The sequence below is a fragment of the Homo sapiens genome, chromosome 7, assembly GCF_000001405.40.
Source record: "Homo sapiens chromosome 7, GRCh38.p14 Primary Assembly".
Taxonomy (NCBI): Eukaryota; Metazoa; Chordata; class Mammalia; order Primates; family Hominidae; genus Homo; species Homo sapiens.
Window position 1 is genome coordinate 91,072,451 of NC_000007.14, and position 20,287 is coordinate 91,092,737.

Genomic DNA, 20,287 nt, shown 5'->3' on the forward strand with positions numbered 1-20,287 from the left:
AAAACAAACAAACAAATAGAAAGCAACAACAGCATCAACAAAAATGTTCCCGCAAAAACCTCCTCCAAGGGTCAGCAGCCTCAAAGATTGACACTAGACAAACTCATGAAGATGAGAAAGAATCAACAAAAAGATGCTGAAAACCCAAAAGGCCAGAGTGCCTCTACTCCTTCAAACGATCGCAACAGCTCTCCAGCAATGGCGCAGAACTGGACAGAAGATGAGATGGATGAAGTAGGCTTCAGAAGGTGGGTAGTAATAAACTCTGCTGTGCTAAAAGGAGCATGTACTAACTCAATGCAAAGAAGCTAAGAACCTTGATAAAAACCTTACAGGAGCTTCTAACTAGAATAACCAGTTTAGACAGGAACATAAATGACATGATGGAGATGAAAAACAGCATGAGACCTTCGTGAAGCATACACAAGTATCAATAGCCAAATTGATCAAGCAGAAGAAAGAATATCAGAGTTGGAAGGCCATCTTGCTGAAATAAGGCAGCCACACAAGATTAGAGAAAAAAAGAATGAAAAAGAACAAACAAAACTTCCAAGAAATATGGAACTATGTAAAAAGACAGAACCTACAATTGATTGGAGTACCTGAAAGAGACAGGGAGAATGGAACCAAGTTGGAAAACACATTTCAGGATATTATCTAGGAGTACTTCCCCAACCTAGCAAGACAGGCCAACATTCAAATTCAGGAAATACAGAGAACACCATAAAGATACCAACCCCAAGACACATGATCAACAGATTCTTCAAGGTCAAAATGAAGGAAAAAATGTTAAGGGCAGCCAGAGAGAAAGGCCAGGTGACCTACAAAGGGAAGCCCATCAGACTAACAGCTGATCTCTCAGCAGAAACCCTGCAAGCCAGAAGAGAGTGGGGGCCAATATTCAACATTCTTAAAGAATTTTCAACCCAGAATTTCATATCCAGCCAAACTAAGCTTCATAAATGAAGGAGAAATAAAATCATTTTCAGACAAGCAAATGCTGAGGGATTTTTTCACCACCAGGCCTGTCTTGCAAGAGCTCCTGAAGGAAGCACTAAATATGGAAAGGAAAAACTGGTAGTAGCCACTGCAAAAAACACACCAAAATATAAAGACCAATGATGTTGTGAAGAAACTGCATCAACTAGTGTGCAAAATAACCAGATAGCATCATGATGACAGGATCAAATTCACATGTAACAATATTAACCTTAAATGTAAATGGGCTACATGCCCCAATTAGAAGACAGACTGGCAAACTGGATAAAGAATCAAAACCCATCGGTGTGCGGTACCCACGAGACCCATCTCATGTGCAGAGACACACATGGGCCAAAATAAGGGATGGAGGAAAATTTACCAAGCAAATGAAAAGAAAAAAAAAAAGCAGAGGTTGCAGTCCTAGTCTCTTGACAAAACAGACTTTAAACCAACAAAGATCAGAAAAGACAAAGAAGGGCATTACATGATGATAAACAGTACAATTGAAAAAGAACAACTAACTATCCAAAATATATATGTACCCAATACAGGAGCACCTAGATTCATAAAACAAGTTCTTAGAGACCTAGAAAGAGTTTTAGACTCCCACAAAATAATACTAGGAGACTTTAACACCCCAGTGTCAATATTAGATTAATGAGACAGAAAATTAACAAGGATATTCAGAACTTGAACTCAGCTCTGGATCAAGTGGACCTAATAGACAGCTACAGAACTCTCCACCCCAAATCCACAGAATATACATTCTTCTCAGTCCCACATGACACTTTTTCAGAAAACAACTAAATAATTAGAAGTGGAATCACTCCTCAGCAAATGCAAAAGAACTGAAATCATAACAAAACATTCTCTCAGACCACAGTACAATCAAATTAGATCTCAGGATTAAGAAACTCACTCAAAACCACACAATTACATGGAAATTGAATAGCCTGCCCCTGAATGACTCCTGGGTAAATAATGAAATTAAGGCAGAAATCAAGAAGTTCGTTGAAACCAATGAGAACAAAGAGACAATGTACCAGAATCTCTGGGATGCAGCTAAAGAAGTGTTAAGAGGGAAACATTGCACTAAATGCTCACATCAGAAAGTTAGAAAGAGCTCAAATCGACACCCAAGTATCACAATTAAAGGAACTAGAGAAGCAAGAGCAAACAAATCCTAAAGCTAGCAGAAGACAAGAAATAACTAAGATCAGAGGAGAACTGAAGGATATGGAGACACAAAAAAACCCTTCAAAAGATGAATGTATCCAGGAGCTGGTTTTTTTGAAAAAATTAACAAAATAGAGCACTAGATAGACTAATGAAAAGAGAGAAGAATCAAATAGACACAATAACAAATGATAAATGGGATATCACCAGTGACCCCAGAGAAGTACAAACTACCATCAGAGAATACTGTAAACACCTCTACACAAATAAACTAGAAAATCTAGAAGAAATGGATAAACTCATAACACATACACCCTCTCAAGATTAAACCAGGAAGAAGTTGAATCTCTGAATAGACCAATAACAAGTTCTGAAATTGGGGCAGTAATTCGTAGCCTACAAACCAAAAAAAGCCCAGGACCAGATGGATTCACAGCCAAATTCTACCAGAGATACAGAGAGGAGCTGGTACTATTCCTTCTGAAACTATTCCAAACAATTGAAAAGGAGGGACTCCTTCCTAACACATTTTATGAGGCCAGCATCATCCTGATACCAAAACCAGGTGGAAACACACACAAAAAAGCAAACTTCAGGCCAATATCCTTGATGAGCATTGAAACAAAAATCCTCAATAAAATACTGACAAACCAAATCCAGCAGCACATCAAAAAGCTTCATCCCCAGGATGCAAGGCTGCTTCAACATATGCAAATCAATAAATGTAATCCATCATATAAGCAGAACCAATGAAAAAAACCACATGATTAACTCAATAGATGCAGAAACGGCCTTCGATAAAATTCAACATCGCTTCATGTTAAAAACTCTCAATAAACTAGGTATTGATGGAAGTACCTCCAAATAATAAGAGCTATTTATGACAAACCCATAGCCAATATCATACTGAATGGGCAAAAGCTGGAAGCATTCCCTTTGAAAACCGTCACAAGACAAGGATGCTCTCTCTCAACACTCCTATTCAACATAGTATTGGAAGTCCTGGCCAGGGCAATCAGGCAAGAGAAAGAAATAAAGGATATTCAAATAGGAAGAGAGGAAGTCAAATTGCCTCTGTTTGCAGATGTCATGATTCTGTATTTAGAAAACCCTATTGTATCAGCCCAAAAACTTCTTAAGCTGATAAGGAACTTCAGCAAAGTCTCAGCATACAAAATCAATGTACAGAAATCACAAGCATTCCTACGTACCAACAATAGACAAACAGAGAGACAAATGATGAATGAACTCTTATTCACAATTGCCATAAAGAGAATAAAATACCTAGGAATACAGCTAACAAGGGATGTGAAGGGCCTCTTCAAGGAGAACTACAAACCACTGCTCAAGAAAATAAGAGAGGACACAAACAAATGGAAAAACATTCCATGCTCGTGGATAGGAAGAATCAATATCATGAAAATGGCCATACTCCCCAAAGTAATTTATAGATTCAAAGCTATCCCCATCAAGCTATCATTGACATTCCTCACAGAATTAGAAAAAAAAACTACTTTAAATTTTATATAAAACCAAAAAAGAGCCTGTATAGCCAAGACAATCCTGAGCAAAAAGAACAAAGCTGGAGGCATCATGCTACCTGACTTCAAACTATACTACAGTGCTACAGTAACCAAAAAAAAAAAAAAAAAAAAAAAAAAAAAAAAAATCATGGTACTGGTACCAAAACAGACATACAGACCAATGGAATGGAACAGAAACCTCAGAAACAATGCCACACATCTATAACCATCTGATCTTCGACAAACCTGACAAAAACAAGCTATGGGAAAAGGATTCCCTGTTTAATAAGTGATGCTGGGAAAACTGGCTAGCCATATGCAGAAAACTGAAACTGGACCCCTTCCTTACACCTTATACAAAAATTAACTCAAAATGAATTAAAGACCTAAATATAAAGCCCCAAATCATAAAAACCCTAGAAAAAATCCCAGGTAATACCATTCAGGACTTACGCATGGGCAAAGATTTCGTGACAAAAATGCCAAAAGCAATTTTAACAAAAGCTAAAATTGACAAATGGGATCTAATTAAACTAAAGAGCTTCTGCACAGCAAAAGAATGAATAGAGTGAACAGAATGAACAGGCAACAGAATGGGGGAACATTTTTGCAATCTACCCATCTGACAAAGGTCTAATATGTGGAATCTACAAGGAACTTAAACAGATTTACAAGGAAAAAACAACCCCATCAAAAAGTGGGCAAAGGATACAAACAGAAATTTCTCAAAAGAAGACATTTATACAGCCAACAAACATATGAAAAAAAGTTCAACATCACTGATCATTAGAGAATTGCAAATCAAAACCATAATGAGACCATCTCATGCCTGTCAGAATGGCAATTATTAAAAAGTCAAGATACAGTAGCTGCTGGTGAGGCTGAGGAGAAATAGGAACACTTTTACACTGTTAGTGGGAATGTGAATTAGTTCAATCATGGTGGAAGACAGTGTGGTGATTCCTCAAGGATCTAGAACCAGAAATACCATTTGACCCAGCAATCCCATTACTGGGTATATACCCAAAGGAATATAAATGATTCTGCTATAAAGACACATGCACATGTATGTTTATTGCAGCACTATTTACAATAGCAAAGACATGGAACCAACCCAAATGCCCATCAATGATAGACTGGATAAAGAAAATGTGGTACATATTAACCATGGAATACTACGTAGCCATAAAAAGGAATGAGATCATGTCCTTTGCAGGGACATGGATGAAGCTGGAACCCATCATCCTCATCAAACTAACACATAAACAGAAAACCAAGCATGTTCTGACTCGTAAGTGGGAATTTAACAATGTGAACATATGGACACAGCGAGGGAAATATCACACACAGGGGCCTGTTGGGGAGTCAGGGGGCGAGGGGAGGGAGAGCATCAGGACAAATAGCTAATGCATGCAGGGCTTAAAACCTAGATGACGGGTAGATAGGTGCAGCAAACCACCATGGCACAAGTATACCTACATAACAAACCTGCATGTCTTGCACATGTATCCTGGAACGTAAAGTAAAGTAAAAAAGAAAAATAATAATTTATTTTACTAAATAAAAATTTAAATTTTTATGTGGAAAAAAGTGTATACTTATTTCACTTTTATACACACACACACACACACACACACACACACACGGGCAAACTTGATCATATACAAAAAAATTCTATAAACTGATTACCAAGAATCCAATATTAAAATTGGTACCTTGATAAAAAACCAAGAATCCAATATTAAATTTGGTACCAGCTATGAAAAGTGAAATTTGAAACAGTAGAAGAAATGTAAATGGCCAGAAAGCGTATGAAAAGAAGTCCAAGAATGTTTTATCAAGTGTAGCTTTGGCAACATGTAAAAAACTGATAACAACCAATGCTAGAAGACGTATGGAGAAAGTGACATACTTTTTCATCACTGGTGGGAAAATGAAAAGTACTCTGTCGGCATTTATTAAAATGTAAAATATGCATACCGTTTGCCAAGCAATTCTATATTGGGGAATCTATCCAACAGAAATGAAAGCATCTGTAGGTAGAGAGACATGTACAAGGATATTTGCTGAAGTATTGTTTGTAAGGGAAAAGAAATTGGAAACTACTTAAAGGTTCATCAATGGGAGAACAGTTAAATAAATTATGGTACTTCTATTTTATAGAACGTTATACGATTTTAAAACAATTGTTACAGGCCAGGCGCAGTGGCTCACTTGTGTAATCCCAGCACTTTGGGAGGCCAAGGCAGGTCGATCACCTGAGGTCAGGAATTCGAGACCAGCCTGGCCAGCATGATGACACCCTGTCTCTACTAAAAATACAAAAATTAGCTGGGTGTGGCAGCACATGCCTGTAATTCCAGCTACTTGGGAGGCTGAGGCAGGAGAATCGCTTGAATCCGGGAGGCGGAGGTTGCAGTGAGCTGAGATTGGGCCATTGCACTACAGCGTGGGCAACAGAGCAAGGCTCTGTCTGAAAAAAAAAATTGTTACATATATTCTTGATTTGAAGGACTATCCAGTATATTTTGTTAAGTGCCAATAGAGTTTCAAGGGTAATGTTTATTGTAAAATCCGTTCAAAAAATCAATGGTATATATGTTCGTACATAAGGATGGGTGTATTTCATAAACAAAAAAATATGTGAAAAGGGACATAGCAAATCATTAACAATTGGTATATCATCAGAAGTGAAAGAATTTGCAGCTGAAGAGATTATAATGTCTATTCTGTATCACTTGATTGTTTAACTTGGTAAAACAAACATGTTCCTTTTTAAACTAAAACAAATCTAAAGATTGTTCACTGATAAATGTAAATATACGGTATAGGACCCTGGTAGTTTGGCTTTGAGCATGTATAAATACCATACAATATAGGAAAGGAGACCCAATATTATTGTATTTGGTCAGAGAAATCATCATAGGAAAAAAACAGCAAGTCTCACTTGACGAAATGTGTTGATATGCTTTTGTAAATCTACTTACAGGTTGGAGGTTTGGAATTTGCATTTCTTTTTTCAACTCAATTAAAACTTAGTTGTTCTAAGAAATAGTTATTAGGAAGCCAAATTATGAAATAAACCATCTTAGACTAAAGAAAACAATGCTTCACCGTTTAATATGTTGTTATCTTCCTGTTTTACTCTTTATAACTGCCCAGTATAAAAGTGAAGACCTTACTATGCTGGCCTAACTGACTGAGTAGCCCACTCTTTTTTTAAAGTTGAAGTTTTTTCAACATACTTGTAATATATACATTTGATACAAAGATTGTTTATCATTTTTCTTTTTTATTTCAGAACGCTTTACCCTGTACAGCTCTAAAAACCTTAGACAAGCATGGAATAAGTAAGTCTTTATACAGATTGTGCTCATTCTCTTTCTTTCTCTTTTAATATTTACAACTCTTCTCATACGTTTTTCATGGCATTGTTGATTCATCCTGCTGTGTATTTATTCATTCATTTAACCATTAAACTGCTGTTAAACCTTAACTGTGTGCTAGCTACTATGTTCAGCCTGAGCCAACACTGTATGAATTTGAGTTCCTAGAGCGATGTGGCATTGCTTCAGAACTGTAAATCCTAAAATTCCTTGTGGTCAGCCTTCTTGCAGCTAAATTCCAAGAAATATTTTTGTATCAGCAACATAGCATTTAGAAAATATAATATAATGACTGACTTTCTAATATAAATGATGTTGGTGACAACTTTTGAGCTAAAGTTGATCTTTCAGATTTTTTCACTTCGCATATTTTTCCCTTACGCCTTATTGGGAAGCTAAATGCATTTATGACTGAAGTGTGTGTTCTCCATTTATTTCATGTCTGTTCTCTCATCTGACCTTACTTCATTTTATTTGTTGTTTTTGAGATTTCATAAAATCTGAAGATCTGGATTTTGTAGTTACTCAGGAGACTTTTATTGCAAGCCAATGTGTTAGAAAATCATTAGAAGTGGGAAACAGTAATTTAGTCATTCCCGTTTACTTGTGAGTGTCACATTTCAAGGTTTATGCTGGATAAAAGACAACTGGAACTGGTTTGATTAAATAAACTGTAATTTGTCATAAAATTTTGTCTACTTGGAATTTAGTGTTATACTCACATTTTTTCACTGTTATCACGTTTAATTTTGGATACTCCCAGTTATGAAAAAAATAACAAAAAACTTTTTCATATTAAAATGCTGCTAATCCGTGCTCTCAGTGGATACAGTGGACAGCTAATGGCGAGGAACTCATGAAATGAATACATTAAATTCTGCGGTAGTTTACTTTAGGGATTTGGCCATTTATTTTTATTAAATTTGTACCTCGAATAACACATAGGTATAATCATTTTTGTCTAACCTGGGGCTTTGCATGTGCCATTTGAAGAGCCAGTTCTTAACCTCAAGGCTCCCCTGGGAAGCATTCCCTCTCCTGGGAGCTTCCTGTGCATGCTCCTCTTCTCTGCCTCCCCATTTCCTGATCACTGGTCTAACATATTTTAATTAAGTGCTTTTATACACCAGATAATATATACAGTATACAGTTCCTACCTTAATTAAATGATCAAACACATTCCTCTCATAGGAATAAGACATCATTCCTTCCAACCAGATAACCACTTTATGAAACAATTCTTGATAAAGCCATTGAATCTCTAAACCTACATTTAAAGTAACAGGAAAATCTGAAACTATCATACTGTAGCATAGCAGCATTTCTGGAGAATAGGTAATTAGAATTACAGAATTACAGAATTTATCATTAGAATTAATTCAAAGGCATTTAATAAACTGAGTCCCACCATTAGTCCCACTTTTTAAATATTTTAAGGAAAATGATAAAAGCTGAGCTTGAGGTAAGATTTTAAAATTATGAACATGACTTGTTTAGAACGATGCTATTTTTAAGTCCTTGTAAGTTTTGCCTTAAGGGTTTATTTCAGAAACACTAAGTAATAAAATCATTACTAAAAATATTAAAATGCTACTTTCTGGTATTCCAGTATTAAGTGCTGAATCTTTAGAGCCAAGCTGTAGCCTCTAGCCAATTCAAACCAAGGCAATTTAAAGAGAACTAAGATGCAGAGACGTTAATTATATTATTGATTCTTCCTCCAAATGGTCCTTGCAACCATCATCAGCATTTCAGCATCTTTCACTTAAGGAGTGAGATCAGAATTCAAAAGAACTACATTAAAAGACTATTACGCGAGTGATGGTTTTCTCTATTTCCAACTAATTTGCTTGTCTATAGCACAATTACTAAACTGAAGCAACTGTTAAATTCTCTTGTACAGTGGTAATAGGTTTAAAATAAATTGAACTAATTTGCAAGAACTAATTTGAATTCAGTTTAGATGGGTTAATATAAGATAGGTGGGTTAATATAAAAAAGTAGGTCACTGTTCAAAATTAAGTAACAATGCTTTTAAAAATATGTATTAACCTAGGTATTGAAGCTAGTGGAGATGTTAACCTGCCTAAGAGAGTAGGAATTTCTTGAGAAATGAATCCTTAAGTTTATTTGAATAGCTATAACAAAAGACCCAGTTTATTTTGGGGCCAACTCTGCCCTAAGTAACACCTAGGCAATTCCCTGCTGACTTCATTTATGTCAGCAACCATGGGCATAATTTCATCCTTTGAAAGATATTTTTATTGTTCTGGGAAAACAAAGCAGCAATGGGAGAAAATATAAGATCCAACAGATATCCAAATTCAAAAGAATAATAGAAAGAAGAAATCTTAATTATGCGATTGAGAATAATAAATATATATTAAAAAAAAAGGAAAGTCCTTTTATTCCCTCATACTAGAAGTGCATAATCCATGTGGGCTCTTCCTCCATAAAGGGGATTGTGGATTAAAGGGAGACAAATCTTAATTTTATAAAAACATGTACTGTTTTCTGACTGCCTTCAAACCATTCTATTTTATTTCATTGCAGTTATACTCTCCCTATTTCTCTTCCAAATCTCTCTATTTATAGTTGTCTGACATTGGCATGTATGTGCAATCAACCAAGAATTTTAGCCACTTAAAAGATCTTTTATTATTTTGGCTGGAGAAGAAGCCTTAGTGTATGCTCTCCAGCAAAGTTAAGGGGAAGATTCCAGGAACACATTTGCTTGTTTTGGAACTTTTAAACAGCTGAATGATTTCGGAGGTTTGAAAGTATCAAAAAGAGAACTAAGGATAAACCACTAAGTCACAGAAGACAGATCTGGAAAAGACCGCTTGTGGCTGGTAACAAGAAGCACGTCTACAGACTTGAATAGGCACAGGTTAACCTTTTCCTGCTTGTTCCCACACATGTTATGGTTCTGCTTATCCTCTCTTAGTTAAGTAAAACTGGATTTCTCCTAAGAACTTATAAAAATTGGTATTCTAAATTGTGTAGTAAATACAGAGACATTTAAACAAAGGTACCTTTCTGGAAACACAAAAATAGAGAAGAAAAATCTTACCTGCTACAATTGAATGTACCAGCAGAGTCTCCAACCTGAATTTAAAAGATTTAGAAATGTTTCCTAACTTTGTGTTCTTGAACTTTCCTTGAGTATTTTATCTGACTTGATGTTTAACTTCCAAGACATATTTTAAAGGTGACTTGCTAGATAGTTGAGTTACATATGCATAAAACATAATGTATTTAAAATAATATTCGGAGGAATAACGTAACTTTCACTCTGTATTTATGTTGGTGGTGCTCTATTGTATTTTTCTTGTCATTATAGCTGATGTGTACCATTAAGATTTAAGTCAGAGAATTCGCAACAAACTGAAAGACCCTGTTTTCCATTCTCCCTAATGTTCTAAGTCGATCTAAAATTTTCTAACATAATAATATATTGCAAAGTAAGCTAGAGTTGTAAATGTCTTTCCCTGTTTAAAAATGTGAGAGGAAGGTAAGAACACTGTTATTTCACTAGGAGGAGCAGTTGAGTTGAGTGAGTTCTTAAATCATCTTTCCCCACTTTCACTTTTTTTTTTCATTGTTGATCATTTTTGTTATAATTCTATTTACTTCAAAGTAACAATTTTAATTTATTTAGTGCCTGGAGACTTCTTCTTGTAATATTTTCAAAGAAATTATTCTATACATCACTATTAAATGTTTGAGGGATGGGTTTATTGGATGGATAAACTCTAAAGCAGACACTAAAGCAGACCTTTTGGAATTCCAGTCTTATAACTCAAAGGGTGAGCTGCAGCTGTCCACTGCCCAGCTCTATGGATTTGAGTTCAGCATTAGAACACTGCATGAGGTGTAGTTCTTCACCACATGCCATACCCTTGAAAATGTACTGTTTTCAATATGCAGACAGTCCAATCCAAGCAGGTCTCTTGTCCTGACCCTGCACTGCCATACATAGTATTGTTTGGAGGCCCCCAAAGGCTCACCTGCTTGCTTGGAAGTTGCAGTTCATAGCAATTTCTGGAGACATTTGTTTTCATAAGAATGAATCATTAGTTCAGTTACTAAAAGCATTATGTGGATATGATGTTTATCAAAACCCCCTAAACCCCTTGCCATCTAATAGAAAGCAGCTCTTCTAGGAAATTGCAGATAGGATTCTTGAAAGGAAAAAGAGGAGGACCTAAAATAGGAGATGCTTTCCAGGCCCTGGTGGGAGTCCTAGAGAGCCTTGGAAAAGACAATAAAGATCTGTCCAAAGATTCAGGTTGCAAGCAGGTGCCAGGAGGACAAAGAGAAAACTATCTGAGTGGAAGATGGTAAATTTGCCAAAGGCCTAGCCCTGATCACTAGCAGTGGCAACAGCATAAATGTGAAAGCATATGAAACGGACATAGTCAAAGGCCTGACATGCAACTCATCTCCACAGATATAGTTGTGATGGAACTAACAGTTAGCCTTTTGCAATGTACATTGTCACATCCCCACATATGCTTATGGCAGTCTTTTGAGGTAGGGCAGATATTATCATCTTGATTGTATAGCCTAAAATTAAAAACAGGCTTATGAGATCAAATGATCAGCACAATTGAAAATAACAACTAGGAATATATGTACTCCAGTGAATCTTATGAAGGGAATATTATCCATTTTAAAACCCCATATTCATGGGAGCTTATCAATATCTAATTTTATTTTGTTCTCGCCGCAGCCATGGGTGGGGATATCTCTTCTGGGACCTGATGTCATTCCCCATCTAGATTTCATGCAGCCAGGAGAGCTGGGACAGAACAGAAGCCTGACTTCCTCTGTCCTGGGGAAAACAGTGTTTGCAGCTGGCTGACTGCCCACACCACCAACTTGGGCCTCTCCTGCCCACTGCTGGGTAATGCACCATGGGAAAAAGGCTGGCTTTGTGACAGTCTAAGTGCCAGAGATGACAGGCCTGCCTGCTACCCACTCACACCCTACCAGTGAGGTTTGTCACCTCTTCCACACAGCTCCCACTGCCCCCAAGAGGTTAAGCCCTGTCATTTTGTGTCATTGCCAGATTTCTTATCCATGTCTCTTTTTTTGTAGCAAAGAATTCAGTGTCATTAATAACCCCTGGTGATGGCCAAGGGCAGGCCCCATGCTATTTGTTATCTGTTGGACACGCGTTTTTTGATCCCCTTCTGATAGACAGAAAATACCCATCTTCTCTCTTACTAATTGGCAGTATGTGCCAGGCTTGGGAGTTGGCAACAGCCATTGCTTTTCATCCTTTCAGATTACGTGTTGGACTCCTCATCCAAAAGTGCACGCTTACGATGCGGCTAATACCTTCCTCCTGCCATCCAGCTCATTAAGGAATAAAACCCAACCCTACTTCTGAAGTGGCACAGAGCTTCTAGAGGCAGCTGGGCTGCTCATTTCCCTGAAAGGAGGAGATGGAATTAGGCTTTCTCGAAGTCTTCTCCAAACAGATTCTAGAAGCATAAACTGTAGGAGTTCCTCTGTTCTCCCAAATATGCCATGGGTGTTTGTATTCTGCGACTGCCATAACAAATTACCACACATTTATTGGTGTAGAATAGTACAAACATGTTACCTTACAGTACTGTCAGGCAGAAGTCTGGAAGAGCTGAGCTGATTTCTTTTCTCTGGGTCTCACAAGGCCAAAATCAAGATGTTGACCAACTTGGGGTTTTATCTAGAGGCTTTCGGGGAGAATTTACTCCCATGCTCATGCAGGTTGTTGGCAGAATTCAGTTCCTTGGGGGGTATGGCTGAGGTCTCACTTCCTTGCTCGCTGTCTCCACCCGCTCAACGCCTCCTGCATGCTTCATCACATAGCCACCTTCTCCATCAAACAAGCTTCTGATCTCTCTGACTTCCTGTCTGCCCCATTTCCTCTGCCTCCAGCAGGAGAAAGTTCTCTGCTTCTGAAGGTTCATGTAATTAGATTGGGCCCACCTGGTTAATCCAGGTTACTCTCTCTGTACAGTCCCTTTTGCTGTGAAAAGTTACCTGTTCACCAGCTTCAGGGGTTAACAGGTGGACATCTTTGGGGGCCATTTTGCTTATCAGAAGTGGGTACTAGAGTTTCCCATTCAATCCGGAGTCATGGAGTGAAGCAGAGCACAGGGGAGCAAATCCAGTCCTAGCCAGGTCAGACACCGTCTATTTTGCCTGGTCTCTGACCCATCAGGTAACAGGCATAGGCTTCTGACTTCAAGTTGCCTGGTTCACAACTGGTATCTTTAAAATTATGTATAAGGAAGAAATCAGTTTTTATCTCTAGCACAGAGGAAAAAGAGATTATGCTCAAGAAGGCCGCTGGCCTCTGAGGTAACTGAAAGTTTGGCCCGACATTTCTAGGTCTGTGCTGACAAATGCAGTAGCCATTAGGCCTCTGTGGTTCCAGGGCACTTAAAATGTGACTACTGTGATTTAGGAACTGAATTTTTTTACTATATTTAAATGTAATTAACAAGAGTTAAGGGCCACATGTGGTTGGTTGCTGCCATATTGGGTGACACAATTCTAGATCATTTAAATGCTCGTCAGTGTAATACAAATGTGGATGTCTGCTGCTTTGGAAACACTACACTAAAGAGTCATTGCATTTTGCACTCAAGTGTCCAGAGATCTTGCTTTTTATTTTTGCTTCTCACCCCTATCTTTTATTTGTAAACACCCTGAGTATAATAGCTCTGGAGTACCCAATAAGCATAATAAATCTGCAGGGGGAATAGTGGAAATATCAAAGAACATCAAGCAGACATTCCTTTCCCTGCCTCCTCCCCTCCAGAAGCCACGCTGTTCCCTCCTGAGGGGCGCAGCCTGTTGCAAGTGTCTCTATTCCTTTCTCCTTCTTGTGTTGTCTCTCTCTCTTTTCTGTTGGGAACTGTTAGGGGTTAGACACACAGCTCTCTACCCTTTTTGAACTCCCTTAAGAATTCACCTCTCTGCTGTTGTTCCCGATCTCCTTGATCTCCCCTAACTCTACTCAGAAAACACCGTAAAGGCTCAGCTTCCTGTTCATCACATATGAGATGCTATTGAGAGGGGCTCCATTTTCTAAATAAGCCTTCCAAATAAAGAGCTGATCCAGGTCTTCCTCACTGGGCCCCTGTGGGTGTGTGTGTGTGTGTGTGTGTGTATATATCTTAATTCTTAAGTTTTAGGACATTGAAAACTACCACATTTTACAAAGTGAAGCATGAACAGAAATGCAGTCATTTTTACCTCTCCTTATGTAAAAGAAACACATGATATGTGATACCTTTCCTCAAATTTATTGATATCATTTTCATTTGATTAAGAAAATATTTACAAATTTAGTGAATGTTCAGCCTCAAAATAAAGATGAATATAAGAAGTCACTGGAGAAAAACACTATTCGCTTTTAGCGTTTTTGTTTTGTTTTTTTGCAGCTTTATTGCCCAGGCTGCAGTGGCATGATCATGGCTCACTACAGCCTTGACCTCCAGGGCTCAAGCAATCCTCCCACCTCAGCCTCCCAAGTAGCTGGGACTATAAGTACCTACCACCATCCCTAGCTAAGAAAGAGATGATTTTAACAACAATGTCATCCCTAGTATCCACTGTTACCCATTCCACCTTCTACTTATTTGATTTTCATGAAACAATATATCCCTCTCTTCATTTGGGGAGACTTTATAATACTGGGGCTCAATTTCTATTCATTGTGAGGATAGAGCTCCTAGAGTATTCTTATTAACACCTGCATCTAACATGTTGTGTACATAGTGGTCTTACTGACCTAAGAATATACCATCAATAAATAGTATTGACATAGCAAAGAAAAAAACAGAAGAGAGGAAGGAAGGTTGCACAAGCTAATTATTGACACAAATAGCAATTAAATGCTTGGAGCCAGCATCATCTTTGGTAGCATAGGAACCAGGTTCATCCCTAGTTCCACTACTGAGCTGTGTAATATTCAGGAAGCTCATTAACCTCTCTGAGCCTCAGCTTTTCAATTTGTATAACCTCTTGGCAGGATTATTGTTTAATCTTTAAGTAAGGTAAGGGTATAAATTACTGGGTACCTTACTAGACACAGTCCTTTGGCAAATATTAGTTTACCTCCCTTCTCTTTTTCAGTGCTCCCTGTCCTACCTCCCAGTGAGAGCGTTTCATTCAGCTCCGAATAAGCAATTACTCTTGAACATGGATACCACTCCTACATAGAGTCCCCAGACATCTTCTGGAATATTCTTTTTACCTTCTTAGGGGCACATGCTGAACTGCTTGGTCACCAAAACTTTTTTTTTTTAATGCTTGTTGTGTAAAAACAAGATTTCCCCTTCCTCAACAGTTTCTTCCTAAGAGTGGTGTGTTAACAAATAGCGTTGTACATAATTAATGCAATACTGTGATTTGTTCTTAGTCTTGAAACACATTTTATTAGACAGTTTTCCAAATTAGATTGAAAGAAACCCATAGACAGGTCACTGTTACCAAGTTCAAATGTCTATTGGACCTTTTCTTGTAATATAACCTGTACACAAACTGATGGATAACCCTAAGCCAGATGTGTGGGATCTGGGCATCCATTTGGCCCAGTCATTTCAGAGGTGAGACTAAAAGTAATTATCCTTGCTGTTTACAGCATTTAAAGGGGGAAGGTAGATGAATTATCTCTCAAAACACAATGAATAAAGGCTGGGAGCATGGCCATGCCATATCTGTTGTGGTGAGGAAAATGGGAAGGGGATTCTGAAAGTAACTGGCCTTTTTCTTTTAGACACTGAGCCACATCCATACCCTAAGGCACAGATCCCATGTTAAACGGTTATTTCCATCATGGCAGTGACATTTACTTTAACAACAGATTTCATTATGTCTTTAACAACAACAAAAATGCACTGAAAAGCCTGAAACACACACATACACAACTCCCAACACAATTATTTTTCTGTCTTCTCTGAAAGAATATTTTAAAATCATTTCAACATCTTTGGGATTTCAGAAAAATCTAGTATTGGTTTACAATGGAAGTCTCATAGAGTTTATATATATGTGTGTGTGTGTGTGTGTGTGTGGTTATTATTACTCAGACTATAAATGAGACAAATGAATAGAAATATTAAAGGGATCAATATTCTGGCCCTCATTATATTGTTATACAGCATATCTTTGTGTATCTCTATGTGAATTCTCTGCTAGTCCTCAGCTGTATTTAATCCCTCAAGACTTGATATACAAACATAATGCCAAATAGAGAACTTCCCTTAAATTATTCAAATCTCCCCATAAGTGATTTCCCACTCTTCCTGCAATAGAAAACATTTGATCATAAATTCAATTAAATCAGCCATCATCTTTGTGATGTTTGTCCAGCTAAATCCTTTAGTGACTAAACCAATAAACATACCAGCTGTGAGTGTGCATGTGTGTGTGTGAGTGTGTGTTTATGGCACAACTATTGCAAAAGAATCGATTTGAAGTAAAGATGAAGGGTAGTTCTCATTTCTTAGGCCAGATTTTAACTACTTCACTGAAGCCAGGGCTTAAAAGATTAAACTTTTAGGGATAAAATCATGTGTACTTCTTTAAATGCTTTGGCTTTTATTTGCTAATTTAGAACTGAGTTTTAATAAGTTTTAGATCAAAACTGATGTACTTTGGAGATGTTAGGAAAAGGCATCAAACCACGTCAACCATTCTTCCTTCTCTTTCTTCCCCAGCCTCTCCTCCCTAGTTAAAACAAAGAAAAAATGACTGTCGACATACTTTTAAGTTTCTCAGGGAAAACGGCATGATAGGACTATATTACTGTTTATAATTTCTTATATGTCTGTCGGCTGAAGAGGTAAAGTTTATCAGAGGCTTATAAATGTTGATTGCTTCTCATCTTGATTCTAAAGCCTTTTAGACACGCAGATATACCCAACCTCCTCCCCTCTTTTTCATCTTACCTTTACTAATGATCCTATTTGGATATAACTGAACCCTATTTATGCATCTTCACATATGTGTATATCCATGTGGCCTGTAGAGGGCAGCATGCTCTGAGGGGAAAAAAAAAAAAAAACAGGCAACTGTTTATCTCCGTAAAATATGAGATACGCAGCTATATATATATTTTCCGATAGCAAAACAAGTAAAATGTCTCTGTTAGAGAAGCCAGAGCTGCCCCATGCTTTGTCTGTCCCTCTCTGCCACGTTAGGTGTCTGTTTGGATGATGAATATTTTTTATGAATTGGCTCAGCCTACCTTGGAGGCTACTTAGGGATTACACCAGGCTCCATGCCTTTGCCACCAAATGGGACTAAGCACATCATTATATTTATAAAGATAAATACAAATGGAATTTTTTTCATTTGGCTCTCATTTCTTGTCACCCTTTACTGAAGTGTAGAATTTGAGTCAAGCTGTACCTATAGTTCTAATTTTATTTGGTAGTCAAGTGGGACTTTACCTTCCTATCTTAGAATTCTGCTGTCTCACATCCTTTGCTTTTAGCTTGTGACTGCCAAAAAATTCTAGTGCCTTTTATTTTTCCCAAGAAAATGAAAAACATTTCCACAGGGACATTTTCTGTTCAGAGTAGACGTTGGGCTTAAAGCTGGGCTCCTTCCTTTGCCTGCCTCACACTTCTTTGGGGTGAGTCCCTGATCAGGACCCCTTCTCTGTTGCCACATTCATTGATTTTCTCAATCCAGTCTCTACCGTTCATCTAAAGAGGCAAATCCTCCCATTGTGTGAACTACACTATTCCTTTATGAGAATGTAGAAATTTCTAGAAGCTGCGTTACATATTTTAAGGATATAGAGCAGTACTGTCCAATAGATCTTTATGCATTGACAAGAATGTTCGCTATCTTCACTTTCCAGTATGGTAACCACTAGCCACGTGTGGCTATTGAGTAATTTAAAATGTGGCTAGTGCAATTGAGGAACTGAATTTTTAATTTCATTTAATTTTTATTAGTTTAAATTTAAATAACCACATGTGGCTAGAGACTACCAAATTGCGTGGTGCAAGATAGAACATAACTTCTGATCAGCTTGAAGCAAGTGTTTTACCATAATGTGTTGTGAGGTGAATTAGGATTTTCAGCTAAAAACCTCCTGCCCAAGTTTTTATTTTTGCACTTATTTCTTTATTATATAGCTATAGGCTTAAATCCAAATCCTATGACTCTGCCCCAGGATTTGCTTTCTCTCAGAACATCCGAGAGATTTTCCATTTTCAAATTCTTCGATTTTGTTGAATATTGAATGTCTCTCTCTTGGGTATCCAGAATGGAGTTTCAAAGCATGGCATTTCGGCAGCACTGATTCTGTAGGCGCTGGCCATTTCACAGTCTAAGCTCTGTCACTCGTCACCTGTTTGTATCTAGTGTTCCTAAATATAGAAACACAACTTAGTAAATGTGCTAAAATGTGTCGGGCTACATAGAAGCTTGACACCCAGCTCATTAACTAAGTTGGTTTTGTTTGTGTGTGTGTGTGTGTGTGTGTGTATGAGCAGCTGTTTACATTGACTACAAATAAAGCGTAGGTTTGTATCATCCTTTTTGAAATGACCTCAATATTATTTTGAAAATGTTCTTGTCGCCAGGTGTGGTGGCTTAAGCCTGTAATCCCAGCACTTTGAGAGGCCAAGGTGGACAGATCACTTGAGTCCAGGAGTTTGGGATGAGACTAGGTGACATGACAAGACCCTATCTGTAAAAAATTTATCTGTAAAAAAAATATTTTATTTATTTATTTATATAAATATATATGTATATATTTTTATATATACATATATAATTTATGTATACACATATGTGTATACATATATGTGTATATAAATTATATATACATATATACATATATAATTTATATACACATATGTATATAAATTGTATATACATATATACATATATAATTTATATACACATATGTATATAATTTATATATAATATATATACATATATGTATATGTAGTTTATATATTTTATATATATATATATAAATTAGCCAGGCATGGTGGCATATGCCTGTAGTCCCAGCTACTTGGGAGGCTGAGGCAGGGGGATCATTTGAGCCTGGAATGCAGAGGTTGCAGTGAGCCAAGATCATACCATTGCACTCTAGCCTGGGCGACAGAGCAAAACCCTGTCAAAGAAAAAGAGAAAGGGAGAAGGAAGGAAGGAAGGAAGGAGGGAGGGAAGGAAAGAAGGAAGGAAGGAAGGAAGGAAGGAAGGAAGGAAGGAAGGAAGTAAGTTATTTTAAGCTCCCAAGTAATCAGATGAGTTTTTTTTTCTCTCTTTCATTTCTTTAAATACTTCCATATCTTTACATATGATCTGCAAATGCCTGTCTTCAGTTTCCTACATTATGCCGATATTGTTAGTTTTAAGACATCAGTAGACTGGTTTTTTTTGCCACCAGCTTCTGATTCATGTTAGAGATATACCCGAAAACCTGCATGTACCTGGAAGTTATAAGTAGTTGGACCCCAGATGATACTCAATGTGCAGCGTTTTAATCCTATTTATTTGTCTTTCTTTTATTTCAGTTATAAAGGTGAAAATGCTGATCAAAAAGATAAAAAGCTCTAGCAATCATGCCAATTTGGGTTTTCTTAAAGCCACAGATATGAAATGTCACCTTTCCATTATAAATCATTTTATATAAACAGCCAGATGTAGAGTTAAAGTCAGGAATAAAGGACTGTGAAACAAAGGTTGTGCTCAGTTCCAGTAAAAGATAGCCTCAGCCTATTTTATGCTCACCATCAAACCACACTTTGGAGCATCTGTGCCCCCAGATCTACAACCTCCTCCACATGAGAGAGGAATGTAGGGTCTGCTGGGAGTCATACTATAAGAATAATTTGACCAGCCTCTTGGAAAAACCTAGGCATCCTCTTACCACAGGGCATGACAGAGAGAAATAGAGGCCATGAAGCTTTTAGCAGTGTTTTTTAGTAATGAACTTTAAGACTGGGCTCCCATGCACAAAGCAAGTTCCCTGCCATTGTAAGATTGGTAGCCTTTCCGTTGATGAACATGCGAATTATCGCAGAAAAATCGTTTCACTAAAGTTTCTACAATGTAGCAACTGTTTCTGTGTTGGGAACAGCCAATTGCAAACTCCAGAAGTACTTTAGGCTGTTTGATAATAGCATTTCAGTCAAATGCAGATTCAGATAAGCATAGAGAGAGAAAATGAAAAGTCAAAGGCAAGGA

General features: G+C 37.4%; 1 protein-coding gene across 4 annotated transcripts in view; it reads left to right on the forward strand.

Moving 5' to 3' along the window:
* CDK14 (cyclin dependent kinase 14) overlaps positions 1-20,287 on the forward strand; it is a 614,270-nt gene that overhangs the window by 476,130 nt on the left and 117,853 nt on the right. For all 4 annotated transcript variants that reach the window (NM_001287135.2, NM_012395.3, NM_001287136.1 and 1 more), the window contains one exon: positions 6,982-7,030. In NM_001287135.2, the coding sequence (NP_001274064.1) occupies positions 6,982-7,030 (49 nt within the window). The remainder of the gene's footprint in view (positions 1-6,981; positions 7,031-20,287) is intronic.